At 40.4% G+C, this 16,306-nt stretch overlaps 1 protein-coding gene across 1 annotated transcript; it reads right to left on the bottom strand.

Moving 5' to 3' along the window:
• BRS3 (bombesin receptor subtype 3) lies at positions 3,062–8,895 on the bottom strand. The gene is made up of 3 exons (NM_001727.2): positions 8,294–8,895; positions 6,358–6,709; positions 3,062–4,880 (listed from the first exon to the last, which is right to left on the bottom strand). Exons 1-3 carry the CDS (start codon positions 8,725–8,727, stop codon positions 4,467–4,469), a joined length of 1,200 nt encoding a protein of 399 aa, NP_001718.1. The 5' UTR covers positions 8,728–8,895; the 3' UTR covers positions 3,062–4,466.
• Between the last annotated feature and the right edge of the window lie 7,411 nt (positions 8,896–16,306).

The following is a 16,306-nucleotide window of genomic DNA, read 5'->3' as shown; positions in this document are numbered from 1 at the left end:
CTTTTACTTGTTTCTTTACGACACCCGGGGATAGACACCGGATCTTGTTCATCTTGGTAGCCTAAACTCCTGGCACCGGCTCTGGTGTCTAATGCGGAATGAGCGAATGAATGAACGAATGAGGGGTAGAAGGGCCAACTTTCTTTTTCTGGTGTCAGCCTTCTCCTTTATCGGTCTCATACCTTCCTCTGGCTGGAGTTCGACTCCGTGGGAAGGATGGAAAGGGCAGCAGTTGCCTGCCTCTTGTACTGCAGATTTCAGTGGCGCTCGAGCTTCGAACTTGAAACTTAAGCATAAATGTAAACATCCCAGTGTAAACACCAGCTTTATTGGCCGGGAAACTCCGCTTCTTTGTCATTCTTTTAGAAAGACACAGCATACTTTTTGTTCTAAACAGAACTTTGTTTTCAGGAATTACACTCATTGCTGAAAAGGAAAAGGTCCATATTTTTAAGTTGGGCAGGTATTTATTGAGCCCCTACTAAGTGCAGGGCACTGCGTGAGGCTCTGGCGACCCAGGAGTTGACAAGACAGGCACAGCTCAGGGGAGACAGAATTAAGATGGTTGGCACCTGACAGATATGAGATGCTGGAGGACAGCAGTTCTCAAACTTTTTGGTTCCAGGTCCTCTTTACACTAAAACATTGAAAACCCCAAAAAACGTTTGTTTGTGGTTTATACTTACCAATATTTCTGCACAAAAATGAAAGCGGCTGTTAAAAAATACTAATTCATTAAAATAATAAGGAACCCATTAGTGTAAACATAAATATCATAACCCGGGCTTGAGGTCCGGGAAAACCTTACCAGAAGAAATTATTTCACTATTCCAGTGACCTTCACTTCTAAACATAGCAGTTGAGTACTACTTCTAGAAAATCCTGGCTCCCCACACACCAGTTGTGTGAATCTATGGTTTCAACGATAACAACAGTTTTTAATAGTTTGGGTTAGTTTTTTTTTAAATTACATTTCTTTTTCATGAAGTTCTCATTCTGGCAGGAACTCTTGGAGAACTGAATTTGTGTGCACTTTTATGATATAGGTAATGTGAGTTTTATTAGGCTTAAACTTTGCTAAATATTTTTTCCTGGATCCAAAAATAGCATACAGCTGTTTTCAGCAATGTGTTATTGGGCTCCCATTTCATTCCCGAGTTCACAGCATAGGTGATAATATGCGACACCACCCTACTGCACATATCATTGAGTGCCGGCTCTACCACAACCGTCTTTTGAGCAGGTGACTTAAAGGGTTCCTTATGCTTATGTCCCATGTCACCCAGCCATCCTGGCCCAAAGGCTGCCCAGGGTCTGTGTGGTGACCTGGCAGATAGCTCTGCATTCTAGACTGGATTTGACTGAGCCAGTAAGAACCTCTCCCAGAAAGTTTGAGTATGGAACATACAGGGATGTGGTCAGAGTAGCAAAGAAGCAAGGAGATACTCCCAGGGAAGGTAAAAGGCAGAACAGAGGCCTGCTGTGGAGAAGTTCCCCACGGGTGAGAGGAGCAGCTGAAGCAGCGAAGAAGGGTCACTGAGTCACTATACTAGTGAGGCAGTGGAGTTGAGAGGTACACACATTGTACCTGTAATGGCATTCTGTTTGGTCGTGAGAACTGGCAGTTTATAATTGCACAATGCTGTGGTCTCTGTGAGGCCTGGTTCCTATTTTTTCTCATTTCCCTGCATATTCATAGAATAACTCCCTAATGACTGAGGTAATCTGAAAGCATCTCTGTCTTTGTAACCTGTCTTTTACAAGTTTTTTTTCTTGCAAGTTATAGAAACACTCGAGGTAACAAAAAAAAAGGGGGGTGGGTTATAAAGATAGGGGCGGCTACTGAAACTCCAGGACTGCAGTGTAGATGGGCCACATAAAGGGATGCTGGACCTAGGAAGAATCTACATAGCTGGCTTCTCTCTGAATATGTGCTTCATTCTTCCCTCTGACCTTTATATGGGGTGATCTGTGTTGTACTTCTGCCCTAATAGGCCACAGCCTTCTTGGTGGATAAATATACATTAACCTACAAAAGCAGAGACTGCACTCCAGATAGGACTCACCTATCTGGCCTAAGAACTCTTTCTGAAAAATTACTGAACTATACCAAATCAGATTTTTAAAAAATGGTCCCTTCAAGCCCACTCTGTCCAGGAATTTTCCTATCCCCACATCCTATAATCTCAAGGCTTAGTGGAACTAAAAAGACTCCTTTCTGACAAAAAGATCGATGAATTCCTGACCTAAGATGACTCAAACTGCAGAAATTCTGCAAACCCAAATTTGCTATTTTCAGCAGAAAAGCGAGTCGTTAAGTGTTTTGTAGTGCTTTCACCTTCAATGATGAAGACTTACCTGCTGGACGTTTTGGTAATGCCTAACTTCGTGACTGTGTTTTCATGCTTTGTGGAGTATTACTGTATTATGTTCCATGTTTTAAGTCTTGGGTCAGGGAAGACCCCGAGCAACACTGAGATGTATACAGAATTTATTTTGTATATATCCCAGCTATCCACGCCATTTAGAATTCTCTCCAAAGAAATGAAATTTTCCATAGAAACATTTCTGGAACCACAAAAGTCAGTGTGAAAAAAATTGTGGCTATTAGGGCCTACTTGTAAGGTTAGCCATGACAAGGATAATCTGTTGAAAAAGAGACCACCCTCTCAAAAATCAAAGCAAAGCTGTGAATTTTAAGCCAACTACAACTACGGATGGAAGGAGGCTGATGCCCTACACAGCCATTTAGGGAATTATTTTATATCCCTAACTCACCTAAGGATTGCTGAGAATGGAAAAAAAAAAAGTTCTTTGAGTTCTAGTTTTATGAACTTCCAAAAAGCTGTCTTCACTTTAGTATTCTGGTACTTTTATCAAGTTATATCTGAAAAGTTATTAGAGTTTAGGAGAGTAAAGATGTAATTTTTACTCAGAGTGAGGAAAATAGTAAGATTGTTTTAGGGCTCTGTGACTTGAAAGTAACATTTTGGAATTAAAATGGGTTCCGTTATATTCTGTCAGAAATACTGTTTTTAGAATATAAAGTTACACAGAGTCATTTAAAACTTTATTTCATATTTATTTGTTTTTCCACACGTGTTACAGTGTCCACTTTAAAACAATACTAATACAGTATCACACCCCCCGCCCAACTTTAAGTAAACCAATTTTACAGAAAGTTAAAGTCTAATGTTAATATGTATTACCTTTTGGAGCCACATCATTAGCAAAAGTTCACGACTCCACAAGCCATTTAAAGAAAGCTCAGCATTACCAAAAGCACACTCAAACATTGTTTTTTTTTTTAAATACAAATTTACCTATAGTGCCAAACATGTTTAAATTTGCTCCAAAAATTTTTCTGAAACCACAGGTCTAAATCTGACACGTCTATTGACAAGAGTTTTTTTTTTTAAAACAATAATTATTAACAAGTGAATGATGTTAGCAGGTAGGAGCACAGGATAGAAAATCAGAACTTTCCATCTGATTTCCATGGGCAGAGATTAATTAGGCCATACACTTACAGGACTTAGGCACCCATTGGGTTTAATAAAGTCAAGCAGGAAGATGATCTGATCACAATTGCACACCCAGGGGTTAGGGATTTCATATGGTACTTCTGCATGTTTTTAGAAAGAGGGCACTGCTTACCAGAAAGAAACGAATTTCTGTAAAGGAAGAATTTCAGACACTGTGGCAGGTTTGCAGATTTTTCAACAGAGGTCCTCAAATGACACCATAAACATGACCACTTATTCTGCCTATGAATAAGGCAAGTTCCTAACAATATTTGTGAATGATAACTTAGCCCAGTTATTAATCCATGGCAGTTGTAAGTGTTGACCCAGTAAGGCAAGCACTGTGCCCCAGATCCTTACTCAGTGCTTTATATTCGCTGACTCCAAAACATTTTCATTTCAACTGCACAGATTCAGCTACAATGGAATACAGATTAATGGAAAAGGACAGCCATTCTGTGAAGGTTTATTTTTAAGAAAATAGCCTAAGAGATGCTTTCTCTCTTTTGTGATCCCCTTTTCACATACAAAGTATCTCTAGATTTACACCACACAGTAAACACAAACACAATTTTATGCAAATCACAGTATATGAGGAGTTAGAAGCATCACAGATGTGATTAAACAACAAATGAGATTTTTAAGTTTCATCTTGTTTATTACACCTTCCTTCCCATTTGACTTCCCTTACGATTCACTGGCATATATAAACTTGTCTTTCTGCACTTAGTGGGGCTTCATTTTATTTAGAAAGCCCGATGACATTACTATTTGTACTTTGAAGAAAGTAATGGTTTGTATTTTACTTACTTATAGGGATCCTTCACTCCTAAGATTTCAACACACTTTTCAAACAACAAAAATCTGGACACCATACACCTGCACACAGCTTAGAGTCGGATACACACGCTGGGAGGAGAAGCAGCATTTTTCCTTGAAAAGCTAGAATCTGTCCTCTGCCTGCTTCACACTACACCCAGTGAACGAGGTCACACTAATTTCAGACATCTGTATGCTCCCAGTGCCCGGGACCGTTCCCATCACAGCCAGGGTGGTAAGAGAGGTGTCAGCAACAGGAGGCTCAGGCCGCTCCGCCTTGCAACAGAACAACTGAGCTTTAAAATGCTTCTGGAAGCTTTTGCTCAGCCAGTAGAGAGCAAAGGGGTTTACGCAAGAATTGCTGAAAGCCAAAACCCGAGAGAAAATGGTGAAAATGAAATGCATGGCAGAGGGGTCTACATAGGTTTGAGAAGTGAATGAATGGTAGAGGTACAGGAGGTGATTTGGCAACCAGCAGAGGGCAAACAGAGCCACCAACACCAATACCGTTCTGGCAATTCTCTTTCGGGATTCAATCTATAGGGGGAAGAAACATAGCAAAAAAAAAAAAAAAAAAAAAAAAAACACAAAAAACAACAACAACAAAAAAAACAAAACATTTAGCTGTGAGAGATTTTAAAAAGTTATCCTATAAATTTACATAGAAATTTACAGTTAATTACAGCTGATTTCCCTTTGAACATGCATTTGTATGCTAACTGGCTGGGATGTGCAGGAAGTCAGCCTGTGACTATATAACACAGCAAGTCAATTGGCATGGTAACCTCTGATCTTGGGCTCATTAACTCTAATTCAGAGATACCTTTCCCCCTAATTTCGAGATACTCTAGGATGTCTGCAGTTAACTCGAAGAATGCCGTGGAATTCTCCAAAATTTACTGTAATTAAAAACAAAGAGACGCTATACAAAATTGCTTTCACTGCATCAGCAGAAGCTGACTAGGTCAGAATATTGTTTTGAGGTCTATGAAAGTTGCCAAGCTGGTAACTAAAATTGTTTTTACTCTATAGGAATTCTAACCATATAGTCAAAGAAGTAAATCCAAAATGTGCTGTCCTTTTTATGTGAAGATAATCCTACCTACATCTATTAATAAGAGAAATGAGCCAAGTTAGGTGAATATATAGCCTGTGGTCACAAATAGAGCAAAGGTAACTGGTTCACATGGGTATTAAATATGCAACTTCAGTCTCATGAGCACCATTGTTAAACTAACTGAATGGACTAGCTCTAAAAAAGGCACAGTTCTCTGCGTACCGATCAAGGGGTAAATGGAATCCTCTCTCCCCCTTTCCCAGAGGTTAGAAAAATATTTTTAATCAAATGGAACTATGTTTTGGCAACATTCCTTTTATTCTGTCCATATTTATGAGAGGGAGGGTACACGTGGCTCTTGCAGTGGTCTTAATCAAGCTTCTGTGAGTCACTGTGTTCTCGTGCTACTTGCATTCCACTCTTTCCCCTCACTCCTCCCCACCTCAGTTTGCTCATCTGTGTGTAAGTGGTTTGCATTGAATAGTGTTACGGATTCTTGCCAGTTCTATATGCTATGTATTTTTATTCTGTTACACTTTCTAAAACAAAAGATGCTTTTCTTCATAGTATCATCTTATGCAGTGTTCCCCACTATTCCATGGGGTAAAAAATTTTGACTACTCTCAAACTTCAATTGTCCCCTCTCTAATAGTAGTAGTCTTACCATTTATTGAAATACTTACTCTGCACCTAAGCATTTCATCTATATCATCTAGTAATCATCTTCATTTTACAGATGAGGAAACCGAGGCTCAGAAAGGTTAGGTAACTTGCTCAAGATTACTCAGCTAGTACGTGATAGAACTGGGATTCAAACCGGAGCCTATGCTCATAACAAAAATACTACACTGCTATTGCATTTATAAACAGGAAGATACACAGTTACTCACTGTGCAAAAGTAGGAACTTCACTTCTAAATTCAAACTAGATTTGCATGAGTACTGATTAATACATACCTGCTTACGGGCATGGCTTTGTTCCTCAGTAGGTATGTTCAGGGTGCTTTTGTAAAGGGTCCTAGCAATCAAGGAATAGTAGACAGAGATAATAGAGAGTGGAATAATGTAGAACACTAAGAAGCACAGCAGAGAATGTATTTCTTGCAAGAGCTTCTTAGAGACAGGATAAGAGGTACATGATTCAAATGTCATATTTTTATTGGGATCTCGAAAAGTGTATACATTTGAAAATATAGCCTCAGGTAGAGCAAATATCATAGACACGATCCAGACGCAGCCAGCTTTTACACAAGTCTTCAGGATGGCATTGGAGGGCTGTCGCTCAAGTGGCTTCACAACTGCCTTGTATCTAGAAACACATAATCAGAGGCAAAGGTCCAAATAAATGTCAAAGTTACCAAATTTTAGGGTGAGAAGTGACCTTAGTGGTCATCCAGTTCTACCCTCCGTGCATATGTGTATAACCAAGTCAACATTAACCAACTAGAATTGGCTATGGTTTTAAATGCACATAATACATCCCAATATTTTTATTTATGCTAATCTCCTTTTCCATTATTCACTCCTATGAGATATTCCAGATTTGCAATTTTATAATTTTATGTATAGACTCTCTATTTAGGACAAATAAACATTTATCAGCATGACTTTATGTGTGACTGAGAGTAATTCACCACCTGTGTATTACCTTAAGTGTAATACACTTAAGGTACCTAAAAGACTTCTTTTGTATAAGTGACTGATGTTAAACTGAATTAATTTTCCTTTCTTCATGAGTGAACAGTTATCAACCTTCCTAGAAGAGAATTCCAAGGGTTTATGTGGTAAAGAGGAGAGGATTAATTTCTTCCCCGTTTGTAAGTGTTAATTCGTTGCCCAACCTGATCAGTGGACAGATTTAGGGCGAGGCAAAGTTGCAATCAGAAGTCCTGTGCCGGTACAGAGATACCTCCTCATTCAAACAAATCCACCTTAAAATCTACAGTCATTAAGCCAGTCTGCCCTCAAATAGAATATAAGACCAGTCAAAGCAAAAATCATCAAAAGACACAGGGAAAGGTTTTCCTCCTCTCAGATTCTAGAATCTGAAGAAGTTATTCCTTCTGGTACTGCCAAACATCGATTACTTACAGGAATCTTGCAGGCTTTGTAAAGCATCATTTTTAACATTTGGAGCCTCAAATTTTTTCATGTTTTTACAGTTATTCTACAATAGGAACACAGAAAAACAGAGTACTTGGACTGAAAATATCCTAACACAGAATCTGAACACCCTGACTGCAAGAGGATCTCACACGCTCTCTCCACAGAGCTCTAAAAGTCAACCAAGATTAATTTATTTCTCTGGAAATGATAATGTCACTGAATGCCTACAGAGAAAACAAGTAGAATTACGTGATGACATTACACTAAGTTACCAGGGAGTTGAAAACCTCACCGTTTTTCTGCCATTAGCTAATTTGATGAATTTCAAATAAATTAGATGCCTGTGTCTTTTTACCACTCTTCCAATATACAGTTATACATATGTGGTCAATTTCACACCTATCCTGGTTTTCATGTTGACTATATTGCACCACTAGGCTGCACTAATGTATAAAGCATGAATTTTTTTCCTTTACACCTGGAACAATTTGCTTTACTTAATAAACTGGAGAAAAATAAAAACCCCGTTCAGTATACTTCCGAGCAAACAATAAGAATAAATTATCCATAAAGCATGCAATTTCAACTTCTCCTCCGTGCTAACACAGAAATTTTAACATTCTTACACTAACTTTTATTTTAAATGCCACCAGATTTTCCAATCTCACATCCACGTTACAGAGTGTGAGAAAAGCAGAATAGTAGCCAGTAAATGCTAAGTACAAGCTTTCCTTTCTTTTTGCCCAATTTCACATCCTGGCAAATATAATGGAGAAAAGAAACTCACCTGTCAGCGCTGAGAATTGTTAATGTGAACACTGACACACCAACAGAAGTGAGCCGGATGAAAGAGAGCACCTTACAACCAATTCTTCCGAACAGCCATCCTTCTGCAAGGTAGTGAGTTGCATCCACTGGCACACAAGTTAGCAGAAGTAAAAGATCTCCAAAAGCCAGGCTGGTGATGAAAATATTTGGAACTGTTTGCATGGATTTGGTCTTGAAAAAGACTTTGATGAGAATAGCATTTCCAAGGATGCCCACTGAAATGATCACAGCATAAGTAATATAGATGGCACACAATGCTTCTATTCCTGGAGAGTTGTCCCCGCTCCATCCTTTATTTGTGTTATCGTTAGAAACCACAGAGCTTGATGATTCTGTGTCATTTGTGATTGAAATTAAAGTCTGATTAGGTGAGTGAGGCTGCCTTTGAGCCATTTCTTCTGAAGACTGTGTCTTTAATATTTCTTCTTCTCAGTTCAAATGCAGTTGATTGTCACGTCCAATGCCTACGTCTAGTAACGAGATGGTATTAGGAGAACAGAACAGAACAGAATGGGAAGAAAATCCAAGACATCCAGATACTCCTTTGCTTCAGTTCTGTGTGTCTCCCAGCATGCTTGGCTAAATGCTTACCCATCTGGCACTGAAGAGTAGGAGGTGGAGTTTTATTGGCGTGTCCTGTCATAAGGAGAGGGAGGGGGCTGGGGAAATGCTCTGCAGTTGCTTATTCTTCCCTGTTGGGGAATCTTGGGACCAACTAGACCCTATTAAATCGTCTTATTTATTATTAGAATCACCCTGTTTTCATATCTACCCAGGATGGTCTATATAGGTTTTGTCAATTTTTTTTAAGAAAAAAACCATTTATCCCCCTGCAATCACATGGTAGTCTAGTGCATTTTGTTTTACATGATAAATAAGTGTAGGTGTCCCCTGAAGCACAACCTTGAACCCACTCCTCAAAATTTAATATCAGAGAGATGGTGAAGCAACAGATCATTTACACTTCGACAGGGTTTATGTCACCTCCAAGGAGTGATCATTCAGGTCACTTGGGCTTAATACCTAGCTCTGTCACGTGGTAAACCCCAACTTTGCAGTTATCCAGGCTGTGCTGTACACTATCAAAACAACCTTTTTAATTTTTTTTTTTTTTTTGAGATGGAGTCTCACTCTGTCACCCAGGCTGGAGTGCAGTGGCTCGATCTTGGCTCACTGCAACCTCCACCTCCTGGGTTCAAGCAATTCTCCTGCCTCAGTCTCCCGAGTAGCTGGGATTACAGGCGCCCGCCACCATGCCTGGCTAATTTTTGTATTTTTAGTAGAGACAGGGTTTCACCATGTTGGCCAGGCTGGTCTTGAACTCCTGACCTCAGGCAATCCGCCTGCCTCAGCCTCCCAAAGTGCTGGGATTACAGGCATGAGCCACCACACCCAGCCAAAACAACCTTTTAAGAGATGAAAAATCCAGGCACAGCACCAGTTGCTTTGTCTCTAAATGTCCTAATAAAACCACTTTTTACTGTTTGACTGTCTGTTTTAATGCCATGTTTTCTTTTAAGGGGCTGTTTAGGATTTTTCTCTCTAGAAATGGTTAAAGGGAACCTAACCTGCCTTATTCCAAAACAAAACAATACAGAACATCACTGCTCAAGCTCCTGACACAAAAGAACTTTTAAGAATGAAAATCATCATTTGCAGATGAAGAAATGAAATAGGTGACTCCAGGGATGATGGGCATGTAGATGATGTTTACATCAACTGAAAGAAGTACACATTTAAGGCAACCACCTCAGTACCAGCCAGAGAAGCTACTTTTTACAGAAAACATAACCATGTGCTTTATATGTATGTGTTTGTGGTGGGGGCACTGTTTGGGAGCAGGAAGCTAGCAGTTGGAGTGTAGTTACTAATTGAAGCTGCTAAGAAATATTCTCTGAAATTATCAAATGCAATGCATAATCTCTCAGCTAGAAACCATGTAGTGAGGTGTTCATAAATATAACCATATTAGAAAGTAGTCTGGGGAGCGAAGTGAAAAAGAGCAAAGTATTTGGCTAGCTAATGAACAGGGGGAACAACAAAGGTTGTTCTTTATACTTAGTAGGGGCAATCAGTTCTTCAGAGAAAGTGAAGTGGATGAATTGAATCAATTACCTCCTTAATTTCATGAAGGGTGGAAGACAGATGTGGTTTAAGTCCCCCAAACCACACCTATCCCCCACCCTTTATAAGTTATTGCCACAGCTTGAATCACTCAGCTAAATAACTGCCTTTGATGGGAATGGGGGTGCGGGGGAGTGTTTGCATAAACCCAAGTTCCTAAGCTTTCAGATATATACACTCTAGTAATTTCATACACTGGGCTGGTTCTTTAAGATTGTCTCTACAGAAAAGGGCTCCTTAAAGGGTTCACATCTTGTTCTCAGCAAACTAATGATAAAATCTCCCTGGGACTCCTGTGTATCATTTACCAAGGAGCAAACCATGTCTTCCAATTCACACCACAGCCGATCTCCACATGGCACTGTTTTGTAAGTTCTGTAATGCTTGCATGTGATTTCTGAGATTATCTGAATTCCCAGATCTCACTCATGCTTTCAGCAGGCTGCAGCCACTGGAATACTTTTTCTTCTCCCTCTTCCTTCTGATCAAGAGCGGTCAAGAGAGAGTAGTTGTATTGGAGTAGTACTGGAGCAGTGGGGGTCTTAGATCTCTAGAATTCCAGAATCCCAGAATATCAGAGATGGAAGTGACCCTAGACATGATCAAATCAAATGCTCTCATTTTGCAGAGGCAGAAATGAGGTCCAGAGTAGGGAAAGTATCTCACCCAAGGTCTCACAAGTTCTCAACAGAACTAAGATGAAACACAGATTCTCTTTGGCTTCTGAAAGGTTAAAAATCAGTGACAAGAGCTGAAAAACACTCAGTTCCTGACAATGAGCCATATTTGCTCATTTGGCATTGTAGGCTTAGGTTTTCTGCGTGTTCTATTAACCAAAGAACAAGAGATTTCCAGGCTAACCAGTGATTCATGATAGATAATTTAAATGCATTTGCTTTTGTATCTCTTTTACAACCTTATAATTCACTAGCAAAAGATAACCATGTCTTGTTAATCATTTTTAGCTAGGCACTTGGCCTATACAAAATGATGAAATCCTTTTTTGTTTTTAGTACATAAGTGGTCAATATTATCATCCAAGATTTTCAAAACAACTACTTGGTTTTAGATAAGGAATTGTAATACAATCCTAATGCAGCTTTTTGACTCAGAAAAGTATTAGAAGTTGAATGAATAAGTTACCAATTTTCTGAAGTTGTGTTTTCTGGTTCACAGCCCAATTTAGTTGGTGTTGTAAAAATGTTTTTTTAAGTCTCTAAGGAGCTGGGCATCTAAGGGTGCTGAAGAAGCCTTCTCTACCTCTCAGGTGGTGGGGAGAGGGGTTAGAAAACAGCTGCCAGAGAGAAGCTGCCAATTTGGTTCTAAGATTCTCGGCCATCAGTAAACAGGACAGTGGTTCTCAAATTTTGGCTTGCCCCAGAATCATCAGGAAGGCTTATCAAAACACAGATTGCTGGGTCCCACCTCCAGAGCTTCTGATTTGGTAGGTCTGGCGTGGGACCTGAGTATGTGCATTTTGAACAAGGTCCCAGGTGATGAGGATGCTGCTGGTTGGGACCACACTCGAGAACCACTTAGGATAAAAATAATTCAGTTCTTCCAAGAGGATCATGGGTTTTTTTTTTCCTGATACTGAGGTGCAACAGATATTTCTGTGGGTCTTCATTAATGAAAAAGGTACTCTCTGCTGTGATAGATATGTCAAAAACCTTCCTGGAGCTGGCTGTCCTCCCTATATATCTTAATCCCTGGTAAGCCAGATTCACTGAACTCTTGGGCATCTATGCCCAAATCATCCAGGGTGCTTGGGGTGATCTCTCCAATGGGAGAAAGATGAAGTGCATAAACTTTTTGCCTCTTACTCAATTTCAAAATCTGTTTGTATATTTAAGAACTGAAAATTGAATGACTAGAACTCTCAATCTTTAAGTCTCTAATGATCAAGCTTTCTTCTTTTATACTTTTGCACTAGGAAGTTGGATGGATTTCTTTGTTATAGATTAATTGGGTTAGATCAATTATAGGATAATATAATTCGACATGTGGGTGTGTTTGGAGCTATGTAATAATTATTTCTGTTGTCACAAAGTTCTCTTTCATTACTTCTGGTCCTAAAACCTGATTGGTACAGTTTCATATTCCAAGGGGAGCTTACTGTTCAGAATGGCCTCTGCAGAGACCAGGTAAAATAAATACAACTGTGCCATGGAACAGTTGTACTATTCTACTCTACATGGTAGAGTAGAAAGCCAAGAGGTAGAAGCAAAGAGTAGAAATTCCAATTGAATCTTTGAAATGGAATTTTTTGTTAAAGGCAAATTCTTGTCATGATTAAACTTAATGGCTCTGTAAAAGTGGACAACCATGTAGGCTGTTGGCAGACTTAGGTACCTTTATAGATGCCCTTATCACTGTACTTGTCCATCCACACATGCCTAATGGTGTATGCTATGATCCAGGTGAAATTCTACTATTATAATAGATTGAGACAATTTTGTGATTACATAAAATGTTTAGGCTTCCTGCATATATTGAAGTACAAACTATTAAGTAGATGAATTTTTCTCTTAATGCATTTCTATCTTTCTTCTCAGTAATCTTCCTTTTCCTGGAATTCTCTGCTATATCCTCAACCATGTGTACCATTCCCATATGGCTTACTTTCAGCTTCCTACTTCTTAATCCTGTTCAGGTGCCTCAAATCAATGAAAATTGTACATTTACCATATAGCTCCACAATTTCACTTCTAGGCTTCTACCCAAAATAAATGAAAACATACATCTACACAAAGACTAGTAAGAAAAATGAACATTGAAGCATTTTTTGTAAAATCAAATGAGAAATAACCCAAATGTCTGTCTGTTATGTTAGCAAGTGGGTTAACAAAATGTGGCTTACCCAGGCAATGGAATACTACACAGCAATAAAAAAGGACAATTGATACTTATTACAACATGGACGAATCTTAAACGTATGCAATGAAAGACACCAGATATACTATATGATTCCTTAATATGAAATTGCTAGAAAAGACAAAACCATAAATTATAGACAACTCACAAATAGTTGCCTGGGTCTGAAGGTTGGGGCAGGGATGACTGCTAAGCAGTACAGGGAATATTTAGGAAAGATGGAAGTATTCCAAAACTATGTGGTGTGATGATGATGGATGCATGATTGTATACATTTATTAAAACTCAACCTTTACACTTAGAATAGGTGCATTTATGGTATATAAGTTATGCCTCAATGAAGCTGAAAAATGGGGAGAATAAAAGTAAGCCCAGGGCCAGATGCCATTGAGGGATAGGGATGAGTGGGACATTTTCTAGCAAGTCTCACCTGTGCACAGGATGGAGCCAGCTCTGCCTAATGCTGCCGCTGATCCAGTGGGCATCAGGCCACCCTGCAGTCTCCACAGCCTCTGTCAGGACTAGGGCTCTTGCTCTTGGGAGATACTGAGATGAGTAAGACTTAGCACCTGTCCTCAAAGAGGTTAATGAAAGAGATAAAGGACACAAATAGCCAGAAAATCTGAATTTCTGTGGCTCCAACACATACTTGCTCACACATAATGTTTAGCTTCCTGCAACGCCCTCACCTCAAGCACTTCTAGGAGCCCCTAACAATGAGAGTCCTGCCAGTATGTTCTCACTGGCACTGTTGCTGTTCCACTGGGTGCCCCATGCTCTGCCCTGCAGTCTCTATGTTACTCTGCCAAGACTTATAGTCTTTTGCATTGTTCCACCAAGCACAGCAGTCCCTCTTCAGTGATCACGACTAGTTTACTGAGCATTGCCAGTATGACAAGGTATGATAAGCCTGCAAATAAAAAAGAAGTTCTTATTAATCTGCCATAGTGGCACGTGCCTATAGTCCCAGCTACTTTGGAGGCTGAGGTAGGAGGCTTGCCTGAGCCCAGGAGTTCAAGGCTGTAGTGAATGATGATCACACCACTGCACTCCAGCCTGGGTAACAACAGCAAGACCCTGTGTCTAAAAATAATTTAAAAAAAGAAAAGAGAAGGCCAGGTGCAGTGGCTCACACCTGTAATCCCAGCACTTTGGGAAGCCGAGGCAGGCAGACCACTTGAGGCCAGGAGTTTGAGACCAGCCTGGCCAACGTGACAAAACCCCACCTCTAATAAAATTACAAAAAATTAGCCAGGCATGGTGGTGGGTGCCTGTAGTCCCAGCTACTCAGGAGGCTGAGGTACAAGAATCACTTGAACCCGGGAGGCAGAGGTTGCAGTGAGCTGAGATCGAGCCATTGCACTCCAGCCTGGGTGACAGAGTGAGACTCTATCTCAAAACAAACAAACAATCAACAAAAACCAAAAAAAGGAAAAGAAAAAAGAAAAAAATAGTAAGGTCTCATCCTTTAATAGCCAAATTATAATGGCATCAAGACCCTCCCCCATTTTTTCTAGAAAAATTTCTAGAACTGTTGTTTCGCCCTTTAAACAGAGCCAAGAATCTGTAGGTTGCTTTTGCATATCCACATAGCCACAAATCAGTCCTCTACTTTATTTGATACAGTCTGCTGGGCCTCTTAAAATGGACTTCACAACTACTGACATCAAGGAGGTCTCACTTGCTGCTCTCAGTTGACTGATTCTGTTATTCCCGTTTATCTATGAGGAAGCTGAAGCACAGGGCAAATCAAGTTCTCAAGCTGAACCCAGGGAGCTGGCTCTATAGTTTGTGCTCATAACCACTACCCCATCAGACGGAGGTGGCCTCAATCCAGCCACCAGTTTCAACTGGTTCCAGCATAGAATGCTGACTTGATCCATCCTCATCAAGATGGTTTCTGAAGGTGCCATCTGTACTCTGTCAGGCTTAGATGTCCTAAAGAAAACCTGCCTGGGTTCCTGAGGATTTTGACTCTCTCATGGCTTAGATGCAGCTCTTGCCTTTGAGGAGCATCCACCGAGTGTCCTGAACCAGAACCCTCTCCAGTGATCTGGACTCCAATTCTCCCTCCATGGAAAGTGTCCTCTCAGGGCACAACAATTGCTCATTCTCTGCAGTTTGGCCTCATTGGGACCATTAGAGAGGCCACTAGACAGACATCACTTATACCTTTGACCTCAGTGGGCCGGGTTAGGGATTTCATTCCCTTCACTGTCATTAGACTCCTTCATGGATGCAAATAAGTCCCTGGATAGGACACCGGCCTGCATTCGAGGATTCTGGGCTGGAGGCAGATTCGTGCCTGAGTCAGCTCTGTTGCACTTGGCTGTTGCCTTCCGTCAGGAGACTTTATCTCTTCGGAGGCCCTCTTCCCTACCACTGTTCCTCCAAATTACCAGACTTGCCTGCGATGTTGGAACCCTAGCAAGGGCCACAACCTAGGCACAAACTAGAATCCATGTCACAAGTGAGATAGAAGTAAATTCTATCATAGTTCAGAGAAAATAGGCCAGTTGGAGGAGACTTGGGGGATCAGGAAAGGACTCATGGGACAGTCCATTTTTTCAGAGGAACTGTGAAGGATTGAAGTAGGTAGAGATGAAGGACAGGGAAGAAGTCACAAATAATTATCAAAGACACAGAGGTGGGAGTGTGTGGGGGCATGTTCAGGGAATGAACAGTGCTGTGTGGCTGAAGGGTGGGTGTGGATAGGAAAGCAAGGTGAAGTAAGCCTGGCCAGGCAGGTTGACATTAACTTGTGAAAAACACTTGAATGCTGTGAGCTGAGTCTGCAGTTCATTCAGCAGTCAATAAGAAGTTATTTCTAATTTTTTGAGCAGAAGAGGGATTGGTTTGGACCCACCCCTCTCCACAATCTCGGAAGAGGTCCCAGGGGCATTCTCATATATTTTGGTTGACAATTTGGGAATGTAGCAGCCACACTACACTTGTGGTTGGGCTGTGCACTTCA

This window comes from Homo sapiens, chromosome X (genome assembly GCF_000001405.40).
Source record: "Homo sapiens chromosome X, GRCh38.p14 Primary Assembly".
NCBI classification, from domain to species: domain Eukaryota; kingdom Metazoa; phylum Chordata; class Mammalia; order Primates; family Hominidae; genus Homo; species Homo sapiens.
The sequence above is the reverse complement of the archived record's forward strand: the minus strand, read 5'-3'. Positions and strand labels throughout refer to the sequence as shown.